Consider the following 20,763-nt stretch of genomic DNA (forward strand, 5'->3'; position numbering starts at 1 on the left):
AGGGAGACTCCCTTTCGTGGTCCGCTAAGTAACGATGCCTTCCTAGGCACTGGCGTTACCGCCTGACCAAGGAGCCCTCCAGTAGCCCTTATGCGGGTGTGACAGAGGGCTCACCTCTTGCATTCTCGGTCACTTCTCACAACAGCCCTTCAGCACCTGACCCTATACCCACCGGTTATTTCTTGGTTATATTAGTAATACAATAAAGAGTAATATTAAAAGCTAATGATTAATAATATCTACACTAATGATTGATAATGTCCATGATCATCTCTGTATCTAATTTGTATTATAACTATTCTTATTGTAAGTATATTCTTTATTATACTGAAACAGTTTGTGCCTTCAGTCTCTTGCCTCAGCACCTAGGTAATCCTCCGCCCACATCTCTGAGGGGCTGAACTGCCCCCCACCTTCTGGAAGCTGGGAGGTTGGAAGAGGGGATGCGTGCGATGGACTCAGCACACAGCTGGGAACTCGAGGCACACCTAAGCCTTCGCTTGTGCTGTGCGGAGTCCACACTTCCTTCCCCACTGGGGTCTCAAAACCTCCCCTCACTCAACAGGGTGGTGCTGCTCAAAGCTCTGGGCACACATTAGGGCTGGGGAGGGGGTGGTGGAGAGGGGGCTCCAGCCTGCCCAACCACCAGGCAACGGGGCACCTGCCCCTCTCTCAGCTGGGTCTGGACCCGCGTCCCAGGCTCAGGCTGCAATGCCTTTCTCTTTCTCTTTCTCTTCTTTTTGCAGTTCCGTTGGGTCCTGCCCAGGACAGATAAAGACAGAGCAGCCTGTCTTTATCGGAGGTTCCTCTGCCAGTAGGAGGGGCCCGGAGAAAACCAGAAAGAGGGCCAGAGCCAGAGAAACATGAAGCACCCCGGGGCCTCCCACACCAGTGCCTGAGCAGGAATGGGGAGGGGCCATGATTCACAAGGCCCTGGGAGGTCACTTTAAAGAGGGCTGCTCAACTGCAAGGACGCTGTAAGCAGGAAGAGAAGCCACAGCGCTTCAGAAAAGAGTGGGACAGGGACAAGCATATCTAAGAGGCTGAACATGAATCCACAGATCAGGTACCTCTGCACGCTTTGTCCGCCAGGCCCCTCCTGCCACTTCCTGCCAGGCGGTCCTGCTGGGCCTCAGCCCTGGCCTCCCCCTGCCCCAGCCCCACCTCTGGGCTCCCTCCCCCCTGGTTCCCCCGCTGCCCCCACTCCCAGCCAAGCTCCTTGCCCTGCTGTGTGGTCCCACGACTGCTGCTTCTGAATGGGCCACCTTCCCCACTTGCCCCAGCCCAGTCCGCCTGCTGAGACTCTCCCCCGAAAATCATGCCCGGGCTGGTGCTTCCCGCCCTGGGAGGGTGCTTCCTCTGTGTGCTTCCCACTATTCCTGGGAGCTCTGGAACTGGGAGAATTGAACCAAAGGATGATTTGAGCAATCAGGCATTTTGTTCTCAGCGCTTTGGTGCAATTTCTGTAAGATTTACTTTGTTTCAATACAAAGTCTTAGGAGAGGGTGTGGGGGAGGGAATGGTCTCTGTACCAGAAAATAAGTCACTTCTTCCAAAGATGCCTCCACTGTGAGCAGAGTAGGATGCACACGACCCCAGACACAGGCTCCTCCTCTGTGAGCACCGTTCACCTTTCAGAATGACACCTGCAACATGGAGTGTAGGAAAAAATATGATGATCAGGAGAAATGCTCTTATTTTAGGCCAGGCACGGTGGCTTATGCCTGTAATCCTAGCACTTTGGGAGGCTGAGGCGGGCGGGTCACTTGTGGTCAGGAGTTTGAGACCAGCCTGACTAACATGGTGAAACCTCGTCTCTACTGAAAATACAGAAAATTAGCCAGGGGTGCTGGCGGGCGTCTGTAATCCCAGCTACTTGGGAGGCTGAGGCAGGAGAATCCCTTGAACCCGAGGGGTGGAGGTTGCAGTGAGCTGAGATTGCAAACTCCAGCCTGGGGGACAGAGCGAGATGCCGTCTTTAAAAAAAAAAAAAAAAAAGTAGCAGAAAAACTGGGAGGTTGAGGGTGTTCCATTGGTAGCCCCAGAGCTGGGGTTCCAGCTAGGAGAGGTCACCCCGGCCCTGCTGCCCCTGCCAGCGTCCCCTCCTCTTTCTCTCTCCCCGTCTTCCTGCCTGGGAAAGCAGCAGACATTCTCAGGGCTGTGGAGGGATGGGGGAGGCCCAGAGCCCAGGGACGTCCAGGCAGCTGTGTTCAGTGGGCATCAGCCCTGAGGACTCCGGTGCGGGGGTCTCTGCATTGGGGTTTCTCTCTTGTGCCTTCAGAAACCCGATGAAGGCAATGTATCCAGGCACATTCTACTTCCAATTTAAAAACCTATGGGAAGCCAACGATCGGAACGAAACTTGGCTGTGCTTCACCGTGGAAGGTATAAAGCGCCGCTCAGTTGTCTCCTGGAAGACGGGCGTCTTCCGAAACCAGGTAGCACCAAAGTCCTAGTTACACCCTAAATAGGAGCTAAGCAGCTGGGAATGCAGAAAACGCAACAATAAGTGATGTGCCCGGCGTGGGCTCTCCTGTGTGCACTTTCCTGCCACATTTCTATTTTTTTTTTTTTTTTTTTGAGATGGAGTCTCGCTCTGTCACCCAGGCTGGAATGCAGTGGTCTGATTTCAGCTCACGGCAACCTCTGCTTTCCAGGTTCACGCGATTCTCCTGCCTCAGTCTCCCGAGTAGCTGGGATTACAGGCACCTGCCACCATGCCCAGCCAATTCTTTTGTATTTTTAGTAGAAACAGGATTTTGCCATGTTGGCCAGGCTGGTTTCGAACTCCTGACCTCAAGTGATCCACCAGCCTTGGCCTCCCAAAGTGCTAGGATTACATGCGTGAGACACCATGCCCCTGGCCTCCTCCCCACATTATTTATTTATTTATTTATTTATTTTGAGACGGAGTCTTGCTCTATCGCCCAGGCTGGAGTGCAGTGGCACAATCTCAGCTCACTGCAAGCTCCGCCTCCCGGGTTCACGCCATTCTCCTGCCTCAGCCTCCCAAGTAGCTGGGACTACAGGCGCCCACCACCATGCCCAGCTAATTTTTTCTTTTTTTCTTTTTTTTTTTTTTTTTAGTAGAGACGGGGTTTCATGGTGTTAGCCAAGATGGTCTCGATCTCCTGACCTCATGATCCGCCCGCCTTGGCCTCCCAAAGTGCTGGGATTACAGGCATGAGCCACTGTGCCCGGCCTCCCCACATTTTTTAAGTCCATGGCCCAGATCTTCCTCCCTGACTCTCCTGTGATCAGATCGTGGAGGGGGTTTGCTTCCTCCCAAAAGGCCTTGTTTAGCGCCCAGCACCCTCACTCTTGACTTTGTTTCCCAAAATCTTGTTATGGAGCTGTGCGTCCGGCAGTCCTCGGGAATCAGCAGCTGTGGGAAGCGGGGGGTGTTGTGTCCAGCGCTGTGTCTGGGCCAGTGACTGCGGGCTGGTGGGGCCGCCCCCGCCACTGCCCTGATTCCTCAGCAGAAGGCAGGCAGGGAACAAAGCTGACCCCAGAGAGCCAGGCCATAGCAGGGGCTGAGGATGCCTGGTGAATGGATGCCTGGGAGAAAAGATGGCAGAATTCACACATGAGTCTATGAGACAGGGAAAGAATCAATAAAATAAAGAAGGAAGGGGCCGGGCACGGCGCGGTGGCTCATGCCTGTAATCCCAGCACTTTGGGAGGCTGAGGCAGGCGGATCATGAGGTTGGGAGTTCGAGACCAGCCTGGCTAACATGATGAAACCCAGTCTCTACTAAAAATACAAAGATTAGCCAGGTGTGGGGGTGCATGCCTGTAGTCCCAGCTACTCAGGAGGCTGAGGCAGGAGAATTGCTTGAACCTGGGAGGCAGAGGTTGCAGTGAGCCGAGATTGTGCCACTGCACTCCAGCCTTGGCGACAGAGCAAGACTCCATCTTTGAAAAAAATAAAAATAAAAGAATAAAGAGAGAAGGAGAAGGATAGAAGAAGGGAAACTCAATGAATAAAACACCCTGGGGCCTACTATGTAGCCAGAAAAATGAAAAGTAAAGAAATAAAATAAGGCTGTGCATGTGGTTTATGCTCATAGTCCCAGAGCTTTGGGAGGGTGAGGCAGGAGGATCGCTTGAGCCCAAGAGTTCAAGATCAGCCTGGGCAACATGGTGAAACCCCGTCTCTAAAAAAATTATTTAAAAAATTAGGCAGGTGTGGCGGCATGCACCTGCATCCCAGCTTATCAGGAGGCTGAGGTGGGAAGATTCCTTGAGCCTGGGAGGTCAAGGCTGCAGTCAGCCCAGATCCCACCACTGCACCCCCTAACCTGTGCACCAGAGAGAGACCCTGTCTCAAAAATGAGTAAATAAGGAAACGGCCCGGGGCTCCAGGCCCGCCCTCTGCTCCCATCGCCCCACCCCTGCACTCCTCCTGCTCCTGGTCTGAGCTCCCCTGTCCTCCTCCTCCTCCTTCGCCAGGTGGATTCTGAGACCCATTGTCATGCAGAAAGGTGCTTCCTCTCTTGGTTCTGCGACGACATACTGTCTCCTAACACAAAGTACCAGGTCACCTGGTACACATCTTGGAGCCCTTGCCCAGACTGTGCAGGGGAGGTGGCCGAGTTCCTGGCCAGGCACAGCAACGTGAATCTCACCATCTTCACCGCCCGCCTCTACTACTTCCAGTATCCATGTTACCAGGAGGGGCTCCGCAGCCTGAGTCAGGAAGGGGTCGCTGTGGAGATCATGGACTATGAAGGTGAGACGTGGGGGGCTGAGGAGAGTGGGTGCAGGAGGGACAGCATGAGGGGCAGATGGTTCTCCAATGCTGTGGGGCGGGTCAGTGTCCCCTGGGTGTCTGTGGGGACCGGGCCAGCGCCCACTGCAACTGGCAGCCTGGATACCTGGGCTGGGAGGGGAGGGCCCAGGGCCAGGAGAGAGGCCTGCTGGGCCCTCACTGTTTTCTCCTTGTTTTTTCTCAGATTTTAAATATTGTTGGGAAAACTTTGTGTACAATGATAATGAGCCATTCAAGCCTTGGAAGGGATTAAAAACCAACTTTCGACTTCTGAAAAGAAGGCTACGGGAGAGTCTCCAGTGAGGGGTCTCCCTGGGCCTCATGGTCTGTCTCCTCTAGCCTCCTGCTCATGCTGCACGGGCCTCCCCTCCACCCTGGACCCGCTCTGTTTCTGCCTGGTCATCCTGAGCCCCTCCTGGCCTCAGGGCCATTCCACAGTGCTCCCCTGCCTCACCGCTTCCTCCTCGCTCTTCCAGACTCTTCCTGCAGAGGCTCCTTTCTGCCTCCATGGCTATCCATCCACCCCCACAGACCCCGTTCCTCCAGCCTGCGTGCCCCTAACCTGGCTTTTCCCATCTCCCCAGCATAACCAAATCTTACTAAACTCATCCTAGGCTGGGCATGGTGACTCACGCCTGTAATCCCCCAGCAATTTGGGAGGCAAAGGTGGGAGAATCGCGTGAGCCCAGGAGTTCCAGACCAGGCTGGGTCACATGACAAAGCCCCATCTCTACAAAAAAAAAAAAAAAAAAAAAAAAAAAGCCAGATGTGGTGGCATGCATCTGTAGTCCAAGCTACTTGGGAGGCTGAAGTGGGAGGATTACTTGAGCCCGAGAGGTGGAGGCTGGAGTGAACAGAGATCGCGCCACTGAACTCGGGTCTGGGCAACAGATAGAGACCCTGCCTGAAAATAAATCGATAAATAAACTCAACCTAAACAGGTGTGAATATATGTAAGTTGAAAACCCGAAGTTTTGAGAAACATCCTTTGTAAATTTCATCCTATGAATTGGGTCATTCATGTCCTACCCAGCTAAAACAGAGGCCAGGAGCCAGGGAGGAAAAGCAGTCAGGCCACACAACATTGTTTCCGAAATGGACTTCTCTGCAAGCCTGACTCCTGAGACTGTGCATTGTACCCTGAAACCAGCTTTATCCATAGCTTCTGCGATAAATGGCTGTAAGTCTTGGACTCCTTGCTCCAAACGCAGCGACTCAGCAATAGAACCTCCCAGCTCCCAGCCCTTCCTAGTGCCCATGGGCTTTACATAGGGCAAGAGAACATTTCTCCTTCTATAATTGCCATCTCTTTGCTCTCTCAACATGGTGAACACCATCCGGACTCCGTGTATGTCTCAAATTACAATTCTTTCTTTGCAAATGAAATATGAAATTTAGAGGCTCTTCTAAACACTTTAAATTTGATTTGACATTTTCAAAGCAGATGTAAGTTTTAGAGAATGAGATTCTCCATAAAAATGACCCTTTCATGCTGTGGCCTCCATAGAAGATGTCCCAGGCCAGGTGCCCACATGGCAGGCATTTATTTTCTCACAGATCTGGAAGCTGCAGGTCCAACTTCGAGGGGTGGGTGGGGTTGTTTCCTCTGAGGCCGCTCCTTCTGGCTGGCAGGGAGTCTCTTCCAGCCGTGTCCTCTGTGGCCTTTCCTCTATGCACACGCACCTCTGGGATCTCTCTGCCTCCAAATATCATCTTTTTTTTTTTTTTTTTTTTTTTTGAGACAGAGTGTTGCTCCTCTTGTCCAGGCTGGAATGCAATGGCACAATCTGGACTCACTGCAACCTCCGCCTCCCGAGTTTAAGCGATTCTTCTGCTTCAGCCTCCCGAGTAAAAGGCATGCATCACCACACCTGGTTAATTTTGTAGTTTTAGTAGAGATGGGGTCTCACCATGTTGGCCAGACTGGTCTCGAACTCCTGACCTCAGGTGATCCGCCTGTCTCAGCCTCTCCAAGTGCTGGGATTACAGGCATCAGCCACTATGCCCGGCTGGGATCATATGTTCCACACATGTTTGTTCAATAAGCATGGACTGCAACCACCTACATGAATATTCATAGCTCCTCCTGTAGCCTGTTGAATATGTATGTTTAGCCAACCTCTTCAGCATAAAGCTCCTGCCCAAACCCCTCCTGCTCCTAAATGTCTGTCTCTGGTGTTAACCAGAGGCTGCTCTTCCCAGGCTGCTGGATGGCTACCTTGCAGGCTGTCACCCTTAACAAGAAATAAAGTGTCCTTTGCAAATGCATCCCTTGTGTAATTTGTAGGTCACCGCGCCATGGGAACACGCTACCATGGGAAGGGAGCTGTGAGACGCGCAGGGAGGCTCCAGACAGGCTGGCCTGGGACACCAGCCGCTGCCCTTCCATAACATGGGGACAAGAGAGGGCAAAAGTTCAGCCCAACACGGAGGATCTTCGGGCAGGAGATGGGGAAGAAGGAGAAGCAGGAAGGAAAGAGCTCAGTGTGGGGGCGCGCATGGCATCCCGGTGGGACATCTGAGGCCCACACCCACCTGCTGTCCCTCCCTCCCACGGTGGCCACCGAGGGTGAAGGCCTGGGGGGAGGCAGACGCCTGGCCCTTTACTCTCCCTCCCTGTCCCCATGGCCGCTGGGTGGGGGCCGTCTCTGGGATGATCCCCGAGGGCAGGATCCGGGAGTCCCTGCAGAGGCATCAGCCTGTCTGTCTTGATGGTGGAGTGGCGGCTCCAGCTGGGCGGGACCACCAGGGGAGGGGCTTGTGCTCTGCTGGCTCAGCCTGGTGTGGACCCACCTCCCGGGCGCTGGCTGCAATGACTTTCTCTTTCCCTTTGCAATTGCCTTGGGTCCTGCCGCACAGAGCGGCCTGTCTTTATCAGAGGTCCCTCTGCCAGGGGGAGGGCCCCAGAGAAAACCAGAAAGAGGGTGAGAGACTGAGGAAGATAAAGCGTCCCAGGGCCTCCTACACCAGCGCCTGAGCAGGAAGGGGGAGGGGCCATGACTACGAGGCCCTGGGAGGTCACTTTTTTTTTTTTTTTTTTTGAGAGGAAGCCTCGCTCTCTCACCCAGGCTGGAGTGCAGTGGCAGGAACTTGGCTCACTGCAACCTCCGCTTCCCAGGTTCAAGTGATTCTCCTGCCTCAGCCTCCAGAGTAGCTGGGATTACAGGCGCACGTCACCACACCTGGCTAATTTTTGTATTTTTAGTAGAGACGGGGTTTCTCCATGTTGGTCAGGCTGGTCTCGAACTCCTGACCTCGTGATCCGCCCGCCTCGGCCTCCCAAAGTGCTGGGATTACAGGCGTGAGCCACCGTGCCCGGCCGGGAGGTCACTTTAAGGAGGGCTGTCCAACTGCAAGGAGCCGCAAGCAGGAAGTGAAACCACAGCACTTCAAAAAAAGAGGGAGACTGGGACAAGCGTATCTAAGAGGCTGAACATGAATCCACAGATCAGGTACCGCTGCCCACTATGTCCGCAGGGCCCCTCCGGCCCCTTCCTTCTGGTGGTCCTGCTGGGCCTCAGCCCTGGCCTCCCCCTGCCCCAGCCCCAGCCCTGGACTTCCTTCCCTCTGGCTTCCCTGCCGCCCCCACTCCCAGCCAGACTCCTTGCCCTGCTGTGTGGTCGCCCCACTGCTGCTTCTGAATGGGCCACCTTCCCCACCTGCCACAGTCCAGGCCCCCTCCTGAGACTCTTCCCTGAAAGTCATGGCCAGGCCGGTGCTCCCTGCCCTGAGAGGGTGCTCCCTCTGTGTGCTTCCCACCATTCCTGAGCTCAGGAACTGGGAGAATTGAACCAAAGGATGACTGGGGCAATCAGGCATTTTGTTCTCAGTGCTTTGATGAACTTTCTGTAAGATTTACTTTGTTTAAATACAAAGTCTTAGGAGAGGGTGTGGGGAGGGAATGGTCTCTGAAGCACAAGATAAATCACATCGTCCAAGGATGACTCCACAGTCAGCAGATGTCCCCAGACAGGTTCCACTCCAAGGTCACTCTTCATCTTTTAGAACATGACCAGTAACATGGAATGTGAGAAAGAACGCGATGATCAGGAGAAATGCTCTTATTTTAAATTTAGTGAAAAGAGAGCCCAGTCCCCAACAGCTTTCTCCTGCAGGGCCCGTGATGCAGAGGCTGCACAGGGCTGGCCTGGAAAGGGGCCCCTGCTCCAACTGTCCCCAGCTCTGTGGCCTGGGCAGGTTACCCCACCTCTCTGTGCCTCTGACCCCTCCTCTGTAAGATGGGAATGGTCCCTGCAGGCCTAGGGCAGCCTCACATGAGCCCACCCCCACGCAGCACTTAGAAGAGAGGCCTGGGCCTCAGAATTCGGTTCTACCATGATTTTAAAATAATGTTAACACGCAGAGTGAAACATCAGGAAGGAATTGAGCTGAAAGGTTAAAAGCTATCTTTTAAGGGTGAAGAGTTTTATTCTCTTTTGCATTTTCCTAATGGGTTGGGGAGTGGGTGGGCAGAAATACTGAGAGGGTGGGGAATATACCCCTGGAAAGGCCAGAGTTGGGCCCGAGCTGGGAGAGATCACCCCAGCCCCCCTGCCAGCATCCCCTCCTCTTCCTCTCCCCTCAGTCTTCCTGCCTGGGAAGGCAGCAGAAATTCTCAGGGCTGTGGAGGGGTGGGGGAGGCCCAGGGCCGTCCCGGGAGCTGTGTTCAGTGGACATGAGCCCCGAGGACTCCAGGAGGGCTCCCTGCATGGGCCGGTTTCTCTCTTGTGCCTTCAGAAATCCGATGGAGCGGATGTATCGAGACACATTCTACGACAACTTTGAAAACGAACCCATCCTCTATGGTCGGAGCTACACTTGGCTGTGCTATGAAGTGAAAATAAAGAGGGGCCGCTCAAATCTCCTTTGGGACACAGGGGTCTTTCGAGGCCCGGTACTACCCAAACGTCAGTCGAATCACAGGCAGGAGGTAAGCAGCTGGGAATGCAGAAAACACATAAGTAAAATGTCTGGCGGCGGGCTCTCAACTGTGTATTTTTTCCCCACATTTATTTATTTTTTCTATTTATTTATTTATTTATTTATTTTGAGACAGAGTCTCCATCTGTCGCCCAGGCTGGAGTGCAGTGGTGCGATCTCAGATCACTGCAACCTCCACCTCTTGGGTTCAAGCGATTCTCCTGCCTCAGCATCCTGAGTAGCTGGGACTACAGGCGCGTGCTACCACGCCCGGCTAATTTTTGTATTTTCAGTAGAGATGGGGTTTCACTGTGTTGAGCAGGCTGGTCTGGAACTCCTGATCTCAGGTGATTCACCTGCCTTGGCCTCTGAAAGTTCTGGGATTACAGGCATAAGCCACCGTGCCTGGCCACTTCCTATATTTCTTTTTTCTTTTCTTTCTTTCTTTTTTTTTTTTTTTGAGACAGAGTTTTACTCTTGTTGCCCAGGCTAGAGTGCAATGGCTCAATCTTGGCTCATTCAACTTCCGCCTCCTGGGTTCAAGCGATTATCCTGCCTCAGCCACCTGAATAGCAGGGATTACAGGTGCACGCCACCGTGCCCAGCTAATTTTTTTGTATTTTTAATAGAGAAGGGATTTCACCATGTTGTCCAGGCTGGTCTTGACCTCCTGACCTCAGGTGATCCACCCAACTCGGCCTCTGAAAGTGCTGGGAATACAGGTGTGAGCCACTGCGCCTGGCCTCCACTTCCCACATTTCTTAAGTCCGTGGCCCAGACCTTCCTGCTTGACCGCCCCGGCCACCGCCCGGATTCCTCCTTGGCAAAGATGCCTCATCACAGTTTGGTGAACCCTCACTCCTCACCCTGCCACCCCCACTGGGGACACTAAGTTCCCCGCCTTGTCCCACCCATCCCTACGGCCCCCTCCACCCAGGGAGGAGACTTTTCAGAGTGTGTTTGGGGAGGGAGTCGTCTGTATGCTGGGCAGTCCTGGCCTACAGCGGTGCTGGCCACGGAAACACCCAGGACTCAGGAATGAAGCACAAGTGTTTCCAGTCCCCACACGCTAAAAAGGCGACAAGAACCGGTGAAAGTAATTTTAATATTCTATTTAATCCAGTGTAGCTAACATATTACTTCAACGCTGATTAACATAAAATTCTTCGCGAGATAGTGAAGTTTCTTTTTCTTCTCACACTGAAATGAGTGGTGTATTTTTGATGTGCCGAGGTCTCTCATCAGAGCCCTGTTTCAGATGCTCAGTAGCGCCCTTGGCCAGTGCCCCCCAATATGGGACAGCGCAGGTCCAGTGGCCTCCCCAGTGGGGAACAAGGCGGACCCCAGAGGGCCAGGACACAGTAGGGGCTGAGGATGCCTGGTGAATGGATGCCTGGGAGAATGGATGCCAGAATTCACACACGAGGCCATGAACAGGGCTGGGAAAACTTCCAAACACAGGGAAGCACGTGTCTTGGTGCACCTTGTGATGCTTCAACAGCAGGACTGAGACGGGGACATTTACAGTGAACAGAAATGTGTTGGCTCGAGTTCTGGACTCCAGGAAGTCCAACGTCAAGGCACCAGCAACTTTCCAGGGCCTGCGAGCTGCACAGTCACATGGGGGTGAAGGTTGTTGCCAGAAGCTCAGGGGATGCTCCAGACAGAGTGGCCTGGGATGTCGAGTCACTGGTGCTCCGTGACATGGGGACAAGAGGAAGCAGTTTAGTCTGACATACTGCCCCCCCAGCTAGAGGGCAAGAGACAGAAAGAGGGGCTGAGGTCACCTTTGAATAACCACAGCAGTGGCACCCACAAAGGTGCAGTCCCCACAGCCTCATAGCCTCTTCTAGGTGCCACCTCTTAAGGCCAGTACCATAGCAATTAACACTGAAGGTCAGCTTGGAGCAGACAATCACTCAAACCAAACAGGGGGGATGGAGGAAAGGAGCTTCAATGGCAAGATCCCCTGGGCTCCTGTCCTGGCCCCTCCTCCCCCTGCCCCACCCCGCACCCCTCCTGTTCCCCCGTCCCAGAGCTTCCCCTGCCCCTGCTCCTCTCCCAGGTGTATTTCCGGTTTGAGAACCACGCAGAAATGTGCTTCTTATCTTGGTTCTGTGGCAACCGACTGCCTGCTAACAGGCGCTTCCAGATCACCTGGTTTGTATCATGGAACCCCTGCCTGCCCTGTGTGGTGAAGGTGACCAAATTCTTGGCTGAGCACCCCAATGTCACCCTGACCATCTCTGCCGCCCGCCTCTACTACTACCGGGATAGAGATTGGCGGTGGGTGCTCCTCAGGCTGCATAAGGCAGGGGCCCGTGTGAAGATCATGGACTATGAAGGTGAGAGGTGCAGGGGTCAGGGGAGCATGACGGGGAGGAACAGCCTCAGAGATGGATGGATCTGCAATGCCATGGCTGGGGGTGTTCCAGGGCAGCCTGCAGGGGTGGGGCTGGCACTGATTGCAACTGACAGCCAGGAGACCAGGCCTGGGAGGGCAGGCCCAGGGTCAGGGGAGAGCCTGAGTGCTTCCCACCTCTTCATCTCAGACTTTGCATACTGCTGGGAAAACTTTGTGTGCAATGAAGGTCAGCCATTCATGCCTTGGTACAAATTCGATGACAATTATGCATCCCTGCACCGCACGCTAAAGGAGATTCTCAGGTGAGGGTCTCCCTCTGGCCTCATCGTCTCTCTCCTCTCGCCTCCTGCTCATCCTCCTGAGGACTCCCCTGGCTGGGCCCTCCTGCCCTCCGTCCTGCCCCCCTGCCTGCCCTCATGGTTACACCCCCTCACCCACACTCCTCATGCTCCCTCCACCTTGGTGCCTCCCCCCTGCTTTCCTGGGCTCTTCCTGTGAGTGAGAGGCCCCTTCTGCCTCCAGAGCGACCTCCATCCACCCCCGAGGCTGCCCTCCCCACAGCCTGGGAGCCCCAACCTGGCTCCTTCTATCTCCCTGGCATAACCGAATTTGTCATAAAACTGGACGTAGTAAGTGGGCATGAATAGTCACAAGCCCGACAGTCGGAAGCTTTGAGCAACATCCTTCAAGGCCGACCTGAGCCCCTGAGAAGGAGCCGCCACCATGGAAACAGAGCTTCAGGCTTCCGCGGCCATAGAAGATGCCCCCGGGCCGGGTGCCCACAGGGCAGGCATTTATTTTCTCACAGATCTGGAGGCTGCAAGTCCAAGGTGGAGGGGTGGGTGGGGTTGTGTCCTCTGTGGCCGCTCCTCCTGGCTGGCAGGGGGTCCCTTCCAGCCCTGTCCTCTCTGGCCTTTCCTCTGTGCACCTGCACTCCTGGGGTCTCTCTGCCTCTAAATGTCCTCCTTGTTTATGGACCCCAGTCAGACAGGATTAGGGCCCACCCTAAGGGCCATGAGTTAATTTAATCACCACTTTAGTGTACTTGTCTCCAAATACAGTTATCCTGTGAGGAGGTGGGGTTGAGGGCTTCGACATGTCAATGTAGGGAAGATACAATTTAGCCCATGACAATGACCCAGGGGGCTTGGGTCAAGCTTGGGTGGGGTGTGCAGGGGTCCCCGTTCTGTGTGTCTGTCTCCCAGGCGAGTCCTGCCCTGACTCCCACAGCCCCTCCCTCCAGACCATGGCTTCCCCACCTAACAGCACCTAGCTGGGCCTCCGGCTCACGCCTGTCCCTTCTCAAATCCCTCCCACAGGGATGGAGATGCAGAAAGAGTCAAGCAAACACTCAGTGATCAAGGTCCCATTTGAGTAAGGTTTTTTTGTTTTTTTTTTTTTGAGACAGCGTCTCCCTCTGTTGCCCAGGCTGGAGTGCTGTGGTGCGATCTCGGCTCACTGCAACCTCTGCCTCCCGGTTCTAGCAATTCCCTTGTCTCAGCCTCCCAAGTACCTGGGATTACAGGCTCATGCCACCATGCCGGCTAATTTTTGTATTTTTAGTAGAGACGGGGTTTTGCAATGTTGGCCAGGTGTTGAGTAAGATTTTACAAAAGAGTAGGCTTGGATCATGGGAGGCTTGAGATGCTAGGAGCTCTCCAGGAAGCACAACAGAAAAGGGCAACCAGGGACCAGAGAGGCCCTAGAAAGAGATCTAAGGCCCTCGGGAGAGATGGGAACTGAGCACCTGGGTCTTAGACCGGAGGAGCAAACTGCAAGACAGGGTGGCCGGGGACACCAGCCTCCGCCCTTCTGTGACATAGGGACAAGAGCTCAGCCTGCCAGGGAACAACTCTGGGCAGGAGATGTGGAAGGAAGGAGCTCAGTGTGGGGGCACGCATGGCATCCTGGGGGGACATCTGAGGGCACCCCCACCCACTATTCCTCCCTCCAATGGTGGCCTCTGAGTGTGAAGGCAAGGGGGAAGCAGACACCTGCCCCTCACTCTCCCTCCCTACCACATAGCTACCGGGTGGGGGGCGTCCCTGGGATGATTCCTGAGGGCAGGATCCAGGGGTCCCTCCGGAGGTCCTCCCATCCAGGTGAGAAAGCAGCATAAAGTGAGGCCTGCACTCAGATGGGCCTGGGAGGTCACTCACAGCGCAGGTGTCTCCTGGAACAAGGGCCCTGGACGATAGAAATAGAACCCAAGCCCAGGACTAAAATCAGGGCCAGGACAAGCCTGCCAGGGAGGCTACACATGAAGCCTCAGATCAGGGACCACTGCCCGTTCTGCCCATGGGGCCTCTGCTGCCCCTTCCTGCCTGGTGGCCCTGCTGGGCCTCAGCCCTGGCCTCCCCCTGCCCCAGCCCTGGGCTCCCTCCCCTCTGGTTCCTCTGCTGCTCCCACTACCAGCCAGGCTCTTTGCCCTGCTATGTGGTCGCCCCACTGCTGCTTCTGAATGGGCCATCTCCCCCACCTGCCCCAGCCCATGCCCCCTGCTGAGATTCTCCCCTGAGAGTCATGCCCGGGCTGGTGCTCCCCGCCTTGGGAGGGTGCTCCCTCTGTGTGCTTCCCGCCATTCCTGAGCTCAGGAACTGGGAGAATTGAACCAAAGGATGATTGGAGCAATCAGGCATTTTATTCTCAGCACTTTGGTGGAATTTCTGTAAGATTTACTTTGTTTCAATACAAAGTCTTAAGAGAGGGTGTGGGGGAGGAAATGGTCTCTGTACCAGAAAATAAGTCATTTCTTCCAAAGACGCCTCCGCTGTGAGCAGAGTAGGATGCACACGACCCCAGACACAGGCTCCTCCTCCGTGAGCACCATTCACCTTTTAGAATGACACCTGCAACATGGAGTGTAGGAAAAAATATGATCAGGAGAAATGCTCTTATTTTAAAGTTTAGTAAGAAGACAGCGTGGTTGCCTACAGCTCCCCACCGCAGGGCCTGCGATGCAGAGGCTGGACAGGGCTGGCCTCGAAAGGGGCCCCAGCTCCATCCACCGCCCCAGCTCTGTGGTGTGGGCAGATTATCTGGCCTCCCTATGCCTCTGGCACCTCCTCTGTAAAATAGGGATGGCCCCTGCAGGCCTCAGGCACATGCCATGAGCTCAGACATATGCAGCACTTAGGAGAGTAGCCTGGACCGGCCGGGCTCAGTGGCTCATGCCTGTCATTCCAGCACTTTGGGTGGTTGAAGCAGGCAGATCACGAAGTCAGTTCAAAAGCAGCCTGGCCAACATGGTGAAACATGATCTCTACTAAAAATACAAAAATTAGGGCCAGGCGCGGTGGCTCACACCGGTAATCCCAGCACTTTGGTAGGCCGAGGTGGGTGGATCACAAGGTCAGGAGTTCAAGACCACCCTGGCTAACGTGGTGAAACCCCGTCTCTACTAAAAATACAAAAAATTAGACGGGCGTGGTGGCATGCACCTGTAGTCCCAGCTACTTGGGAGGCTGAGGCAGGAGATTTGCTTGAAACCAGGAGGCGGAAGTTATAGTGAGCCGAGATTGCACCACTGCACTCCAGCCTGGTGACAGAGTGAGACCGTGTGCAAAAATAAATAAATTCGCTGTGATCCCGATATAAAAATAATCATCATCATCATCGGACAGGTGAAATGTGAGGAAGGAATTGAGCTGAAATGTTCAAGCAATTATTTCAGGGTGAAGAGTTTTATTCTCTGTTGCATTTTCCTAATGGGTTGGGAGATGTGTGGCAGAAAAACTGGGAGGTTGAGGGTGTCCCATTGGTAGGCCCAGAGCTGGGGTTCCAGCTAGGAGAGGTCACCCTGTCCCTGCTGCCCCTGCCAGTACCCCCTCCTCTTTCTCTCTCCCAGTCTTCCTGCCTGGGAAAGCAGCAGACATTCCCAGGGCTGTGGAGGGATGGGAGAGGCCCAGACTCCAGGGACGTCCAGGGAGTTGTGTTCAGTGGGCATCAGCTCCGAGGAATCTCTGCACTGGGGTTTCTCTCTTGTGCCCTCAGAAACCCGATGGAGGCAATGTACCCACACATATTCTACTTCCACTTTAAAAACCTACTGAAAGCCTGTGGTCGGAACGAAAGCTGGCTGTGCTTCACCATGGAAGTTACAAAGCACCACTCAGCTGTCTTCCGGAAGAGGGGCGTCTTCCGAAACCAGGTAGCACCAAAGTCCTATTTACACCCTAAATAGGAGCTAAGCAGCTGGGAACGCAGAAAACACAATACGTGACGTGCCCCGCGTGGGCTCTGCTATGTGTACTTTCCTCTTACATTTCTTTCTTTTTTTTTTTTTTAAGACAGAGTCTCCCTCATGCAACCTCTGCCTCCCGGGTTCAAGCGATTCTCCTGCCTCAGCCTCATGGGTAGCTGGGATTACAGGTGCCCGCCACCACACTCAGCTAATTTTTATTTTATTTATTTATTTTTTTAGTAGAGACGGGGTTTCACCGTGGTGGCCAGGCTGGTTTCAAACTCCTGACCTCAAGCGATCCGCCCCGCTTGGCCTCCCAACGTTCTAGGATTACAGGCATGAGCCACCACGCCCAACTTCCTCCCACATTTTTTAAGTCGGTGGCCCAGATCTTCCTCCCTAACTTTCCTGGGATCAGATTGTCGAGGGGTTTTGCCTCTTACCAAAAGGCCTTGTTTAGCGCCCAGCGCCCTCACTCTTGACTTTGTTTCCCAAAATCTTGTCATGGAGCTGTGCGTCCGGCAGTCCTCGGGAAACAGCAGCTGTGGGAAGCGGTGGGTCTGGTGTCCAGCACTGTGCCTGGGCCAGTCACTGTGGGCTGGTGGGGCCGCCCCCGCCACTGCCCTGATTCCTCGATGTCAAGGACACATCCTCACAGGGTGGTGAACCCTCGCTCCTCACCCTGCCGCCCCCACAGCAGCCACTGACCTCCCACCCACCCTGCCGTGTCCCACCCAACCCTGCGGCCCCCTCCTCCCAGGCAGGAGATTTTTTCAGAGTGTGTTTGGGGAGGGAGCCGTCTGTGTGCTGGGCAGGCCTGGCCTACAGCAGTGCTGGCCTCGGAAACACCCAGGACTCAGGATGGAAGCGCAAGTGTTTCCAGTCCCCACACGCTAAAAAGGCGATAAGAACTCGTGGAAGAAATTTTAGTGTCTGCATTAGCTCAATTATCTCACATAGGATTTCAACATATACTTAATATAAAATGCCTCATGAGAGAGTTAAAGTTTGTCTATTCTCACAATGAGATTTTGAAATGCGCTGTGTATTTTACACGTGCCAACGTTTCTAATCAGAGCCCCATTTCAAGTGCTCAGTAGCCCCTTTGGCCAACCTTCAACTCCATGGGACAATGTGGGTCCAATGACCTTCCCAGCAGAAGGCAGACAGGGGACAAGGCAGACCCCATAGGACCAGGCCACAGCAGGGGCTGAGGATGCCTGGTTAATGGATGCCTGGGGGAAAGGATGCCAGAATTCGCACTTGAGGGCATGATGAGACAGGAAAAGACTCAATAAAATAAAGAAGGAAGGGGCCAAGCGCGGTGGCTCACGCCTGTACGCAGTAGCTCACGCCTGCAATCCCAACACATCGTGAGGCCTAGGCGGGCGGATCATAAGGTCAGGAGTTCAAGAACAGCCTAGCTAACATGGTGAAACCCTGTCTCTACTAAAACTACAAAAATTAGCCAGGCGTAGGAGTGCGCGACTGTAATCCTAGCTACTCCGGAGGCTGAGGCAAGAGAATCGCTTGAACCCAAGGGGCAGAAGTTGTGGTGAGCTGAGATCGTGCCGTTGCACTCCCGCCTGTGCAACAGAGCAAGACTCCATCTCAGAAAAAAATAATAAAAAAATAAAGAGGAAGGAGAAGGATGGAATAAGGGAAACTCAATGAATAAAACGCCCTGGGGCCTACTATGCACCCAGAAAAATGAAAAGTAAAGAAATAAAATAAGGTCGTGCATGTGGTTTATGCTCATAGTCCTAGAAATTTGGTAGGCTGAGGCAGGAGGATGGCTTGAGCCCAAGATTTCGAGATCAGCCTGGGCAATGTGGCACGACTCCGTCTCCACAAAAATTACAAAAAAATTAGCCGGGCGTGGCAGCACACACCTGCAGTCCCAGCTAATCAGGAGGCTGAGGTGGGAAGATTCCTTGAGCCTGGGAGGTCAAGGCTGCAGTCAGCCCAGATCGCACCACTGCACCCCAGCTTGGGCAACAGGAGAGACCCTGTCTCAAAAATAAATAAATAAGAAAATGCCCTGGGGCTTCAGGCCTGCCCTCTTCTCCCATCGCCCCACCCCTACACTCCTCCTGCTCCTGGTCTGAGCTCCCCCTGCCCTCCTCCTCCTCCTTCCCCAGGTGGATCCTGAGACCCATTGTCATGCAGAAAGGTGCTTCCTCTCTTGGTTCTGTGACGACATACTGTCTCCTAACACAAACTACGAGGTCACCTGGTACACATCTTGGAGCCCTTGCCCAGAGTGTGCAGGGGAGGTGGCCGAGTTCCTGGCCAGGCACAGCAACGTGAATCTCACCATCTTCACCGCCCGCCTCTGCTACTTCTGGGATACAGATTACCAGGAGGGGCTCTGCAGCCTGAGTCAGGAAGGGGCCTCCGTGAAGATCATGGGCTACAAAGGTGAGACGTGGGGGGCTGAGGAGAGTGGGTGCGGGAGGGACAGCATGAGGGGCAGGTGGGTCTGCAATGCCGTGGGGCGGGGCAGTGTCCCCGGGAAGCCTGCAGGGATGGGGCCGGCGCCAGCTGCAACTGGCAGCCAGGAGACCTGGCTTGGGAGGGGAGGGCCCAGGGCCGGGAGAGAGGCTTGCTGGGCCCTCACTGCTTTCTCCTTGTTTTTTTCTCAGATTTTGTATCTTGTTGGAAAAACTTTGTGTACAGTGATGATGAGCCATTCAAGCCTTGGAAGGGACTACAAACCAACTTTCGACTTCTGAAAAGAAGGCTACGGGAGATTCTCCAGTGAGGGGTCTCCCTGGGCCTCATGGTCTGTCTCTTCTAGCCTCCTGCTCATGCTGCACGGGCCTCCCCTCCATCCTGCACCAGCTGTGCTTTTGCCTGGTCATCCTGAGCCCCTCCTGGCCTCAGGGCCATTCCATAGTGCCCCCCTGCCTCACCACCTCCTCCCCGCTCTCCCAGGCTCTTCTTGTAGAGGCTCTCCATCCACCTCCCCAGTCCTGTTCCCCCAGCCTGGGTGCCCCTAACTTGACTCTTCCCATCTCCCCAGCATAACCAAATCTTTTTTTTTTTTTTTTTTTTTTGAGACGGAGTTTCACTCTGTCGCCCAGACTAGAGTGCAATGGCTGGATCTCAGCTCACTGCAAACTCTGCTTACTGGGTTCAAGTGATTCTCCTGTCTCAGCTTCTGAGTAGCTGGGATTACAGATGCCTGCCACCACGCCCAGCTAATTTTTTTTTTTTTTTTTTTTTTTTTTTGTATTTTTAGTAGTGACTGGGTTTCACCATGTTGGCCAGGCTGGTCTTGAACTCCTGACCTCAGGTGATCTGCCCATCTCTGTCTCCCAAAGTGCTGGGATTACGGGCGTGAGCCACCCGGCTCGGCCGCACAACCAAATCTTATTAAACTCAATCTAGTCTGGCCCTGGTGACTCACGCCTTTCGGAGGCAGAGGTGGGAGAATCGCTTGAGCCCAGAAGTTTGAGACCAGCCTGGGCCACACGACAAAGCCCCATTTCTACAAAAAAAAATACCAAAAAAAAGCCAGATGTGGTGGCATGCACCTGTAGTTTAAGCTACTTGGGAGGATGAAGTGGGAGGACTGCTTGAGCCGGGGAGGTGGAGGCTGGAGTAAACTGAGATCGCGCCACAGAACTCCAGTTTGAGCAACAGATCAAGACCCTGCCTGAAAATAAATCAATAAATACACTCAACCTAAATGGATATGAATATATGTAAGTTGAAAACCAGTTTTGAGAAACATCCTTTGTAAGTTTCATCCTACGAATTGGGTCATTCATGTCCTACGCAGCTAAAACAGAGGCCAGCAGCCAGGGAGGAAAAGCAGTCAGGCCACACACCATTGCTCCCAAAATGGACTTATCTGCAAGCCTGACTCCTGAAACTGTGCATTGTACCCTGAAACCAGCTTTATCCATAGCTTCTGCCATAAATGGCTGTAAGTCTTGGACTCCTTGCTCCAAACGCAGTGACTCAGCAATGGAACCTCCCAGCTCCCAACACTTCCTAGTGCCCATGGTGGGCTTTCCCACAGGGCAAGAGAACATTTCTCCTTTTTTTTTTTGAAGTGGAGTCTCGCCCTGTCACCCAGGCTGGAGTGCAATGGCGCAGTCTCCGCTCACTGCAACCTCCACCTCTGTTGTTCAAGTGATTCTCCTGTCTCAGCCTCCCGAGTAGCTGGGATTACAGGCGTGCACCACCACACCGGGCTAATTTTTGTATTTTCAGTAAAAACGGGTTTCATCATGTTGCCCATGCCAGGCTTATTTTTATTTTTTTCAGATGAAGTCTTGCTCTGTCACCCAGGCTGGAGTGCAGTGGTGCAACCTGGGCTCACTGCAACCTCTGCCACCCGGGTTCAAACTATTCTCCTGCCTCAGCCTCCCGAGTAGCTGGGATTACATGGGTGTGCCACCACGCCTGGCTAATTTTTGTATTTTTAGTAGAGATGGGGTTTCAGCATCTTGGCTAGGCTGGTCTTGAACTCCTGACCTGGTGATCCACCCGTCTCGGGCACCCAAAGTGCTG

General features: G+C 53.9%; 2 protein-coding genes across 5 annotated transcripts, besides 13 other annotated features; both read left to right on the forward strand.

The window, feature by feature from the left end:
- Positions 156-774: an enhancer, noted in NCBI's record as "H3K27ac-H3K4me1 hESC enhancer chr22:39409474-39410092 (GRCh37/hg19 assembly coordinates)". NCBI's record gives its function as "activates a minimal SCP1, AML or CMV promoter by ChIP-STARR-seq in primed H9 embryonic stem cells {active_cell/tissue: H9 hESC(primed)}" and the evidence as "EXISTENCE:reporter gene assay evidence [ECO:0000049][PMID:30033119]".
- Positions 156-1,392: a biological region, named in NCBI's record as "H3K27ac-H3K4me1 hESC enhancers GRCh37_chr22:39409474-39410092 and GRCh37_chr22:39410093-39410710".
- Positions 751-1,045: an enhancer, noted in NCBI's record as "tiled region #8537; K562 Activating DNase unmatched - State 1:Tss". NCBI's record gives its function as "activates a minimal TATA promoter and a strong SV40 promoter by Sharpr-MPRA in K562 cells {active_cell/tissue: K562}" and the evidence as "EXISTENCE:reporter gene assay evidence [ECO:0000049][PMID:27701403]".
- Positions 775-1,392: an enhancer, noted in NCBI's record as "H3K27ac-H3K4me1 hESC enhancer chr22:39410093-39410710 (GRCh37/hg19 assembly coordinates)". NCBI's record gives its function as "activates a minimal SCP1, AML or CMV promoter by ChIP-STARR-seq in primed H9 embryonic stem cells {active_cell/tissue: H9 hESC(primed)}" and the evidence as "EXISTENCE:reporter gene assay evidence [ECO:0000049][PMID:30033119]".
- On the forward strand, positions 944-7,039 carry APOBEC3C (apolipoprotein B mRNA editing enzyme catalytic subunit 3C). Its single transcript, NM_014508.3, has 4 exons — positions 944-1,066; positions 2,282-2,438; positions 4,453-4,732; positions 4,956-7,039. The coding sequence occupies exons 1-4, from the start codon at positions 1,050-1,052 to the stop codon at positions 5,072-5,074; spliced, it is 573 nt and encodes a 190-aa protein (NP_055323.2). The 5' UTR covers positions 944-1,049; the 3' UTR covers positions 5,075-7,039.
- Positions 965-1,074: an enhancer, noted in NCBI's record as "active region_19025". NCBI's record gives its function as "activates an Ori minimal core promoter by ATAC-STARR-seq in GM12878 lymphoblastoid cells {active_cell/tissue: GM12878}" and the evidence as "EXISTENCE:reporter gene assay evidence [ECO:0000049][PMID:35858748]".
- Positions 1,185-1,234: a silencer, noted in NCBI's record as "silent region_13738". NCBI's record gives its function as "represses an Ori minimal core promoter by ATAC-STARR-seq in GM12878 lymphoblastoid cells {active_cell/tissue: GM12878}" and the evidence as "EXISTENCE:reporter gene assay evidence [ECO:0000049][PMID:35858748]".
- Positions 6,576-7,416: an enhancer, noted in NCBI's record as "OCT4-H3K27ac-H3K4me1 hESC enhancer chr22:39415894-39416734 (GRCh37/hg19 assembly coordinates)". NCBI's record gives its function as "activates a minimal SCP1, AML or CMV promoter by ChIP-STARR-seq in naive and primed H9 embryonic stem cells {active_cell/tissue: H9 hESC(naive and primed)}" and the evidence as "EXISTENCE:reporter gene assay evidence [ECO:0000049][PMID:30033119]".
- Positions 6,576-8,255: a biological region, named in NCBI's record as "OCT4-H3K27ac-H3K4me1 hESC enhancer GRCh37_chr22:39415894-39416734".
- Positions 7,168-7,677: an enhancer, noted in NCBI's record as "active region_19026". NCBI's record gives its function as "activates an Ori minimal core promoter by ATAC-STARR-seq in GM12878 lymphoblastoid cells {active_cell/tissue: GM12878}" and the evidence as "EXISTENCE:reporter gene assay evidence [ECO:0000049][PMID:35858748]".
- Positions 7,417-8,255: an enhancer, noted in NCBI's record as "H3K27ac-H3K4me1 hESC enhancer chr22:39416735-39417573 (GRCh37/hg19 assembly coordinates)". NCBI's record gives its function as "activates a minimal SCP1, AML or CMV promoter by ChIP-STARR-seq in primed H9 embryonic stem cells {active_cell/tissue: H9 hESC(primed)}" and the evidence as "EXISTENCE:reporter gene assay evidence [ECO:0000049][PMID:30033119]".
- Positions 7,814-19,964, forward strand: APOBEC3D (apolipoprotein B mRNA editing enzyme catalytic subunit 3D). 4 transcript variants are annotated; one of them, NM_152426.4, is made up of 7 exons: positions 7,814-8,223; positions 9,509-9,701; positions 11,757-12,036; positions 12,244-12,358; positions 16,050-16,206; positions 18,381-18,660; positions 18,885-19,964. In NM_152426.4, the coding sequence occupies exons 1-7, from the start codon at positions 8,207-8,209 to the stop codon at positions 19,001-19,003; spliced, it is 1,161 nt and encodes a 386-aa protein (NP_689639.2). In that variant the 5' UTR covers positions 7,814-8,206; the 3' UTR covers positions 19,004-19,964. The 4 variants fall into 4 exon arrangements, with proteins under 4 accessions (NP_689639.2, XP_016884085.1, XP_047297098.1 ...); XM_017028596.3 differs by having other exon boundaries at positions 11,757-12,358; XM_047441142.1 differs by lacking the exons at positions 16,050-16,206; positions 18,885-19,964 and having other exon boundaries at positions 18,381-18,650.
- Positions 8,256-9,095: an enhancer, noted in NCBI's record as "H3K4me1 hESC enhancer chr22:39417574-39418413 (GRCh37/hg19 assembly coordinates)". NCBI's record gives its function as "activates a minimal SCP1, AML or CMV promoter by ChIP-STARR-seq in naive H9 embryonic stem cells {active_cell/tissue: H9 hESC(naive)}" and the evidence as "EXISTENCE:reporter gene assay evidence [ECO:0000049][PMID:30033119]".
- Positions 14,660-15,588: an enhancer, noted in NCBI's record as "H3K4me1 hESC enhancer chr22:39423978-39424906 (GRCh37/hg19 assembly coordinates)". NCBI's record gives its function as "activates a minimal SCP1, AML or CMV promoter by ChIP-STARR-seq in primed H9 embryonic stem cells {active_cell/tissue: H9 hESC(primed)}" and the evidence as "EXISTENCE:reporter gene assay evidence [ECO:0000049][PMID:30033119]".
- Positions 17,043-17,839: an enhancer, noted in NCBI's record as "H3K27ac-H3K4me1 hESC enhancer chr22:39426361-39427157 (GRCh37/hg19 assembly coordinates)". NCBI's record gives its function as "activates a minimal SCP1, AML or CMV promoter by ChIP-STARR-seq in primed H9 embryonic stem cells {active_cell/tissue: H9 hESC(primed)}" and the evidence as "EXISTENCE:reporter gene assay evidence [ECO:0000049][PMID:30033119]".
- Positions 19,965-20,763: the final 799 nt, after the last annotated feature.

This window comes from Homo sapiens, chromosome 22, assembly GCF_000001405.40.
Source record: "Homo sapiens chromosome 22, GRCh38.p14 Primary Assembly".
In the NCBI taxonomy this organism is placed as follows: domain Eukaryota; kingdom Metazoa; phylum Chordata; class Mammalia; order Primates; family Hominidae; genus Homo; species Homo sapiens.

Excerpts from the sequence above, each read along its gene's own strand:
- APOBEC3C (NM_014508.3), top strand. Across the intron at positions 2,439-4,452 it reads CGGGCGTCTTCCGAAACCAG|GTGGATTCTGAGACCCATTG; the intron begins GTAGCACCAAAG and ends CTCCTTCGCCAG. Across the intron at positions 4,733-4,955 it reads GGAGATCATGGACTATGAAG|ATTTTAAATATTGTTGGGAA; the intron begins GTGAGACGTGGG and ends GTTTTTTCTCAG.
- APOBEC3D (XM_017028596.3), top strand. Across the intron at positions 9,702-11,756 it reads AGTCGAATCACAGGCAGGAG|GTGTATTTCCGGTTTGAGAA; the intron begins GTAAGCAGCTGG and ends CTCCTCTCCCAG. Across the intron at positions 16,207-18,380 it reads GGGGCGTCTTCCGAAACCAG|GTGGATCCTGAGACCCATTG; the intron begins GTAGCACCAAAG and ends CTCCTTCCCCAG.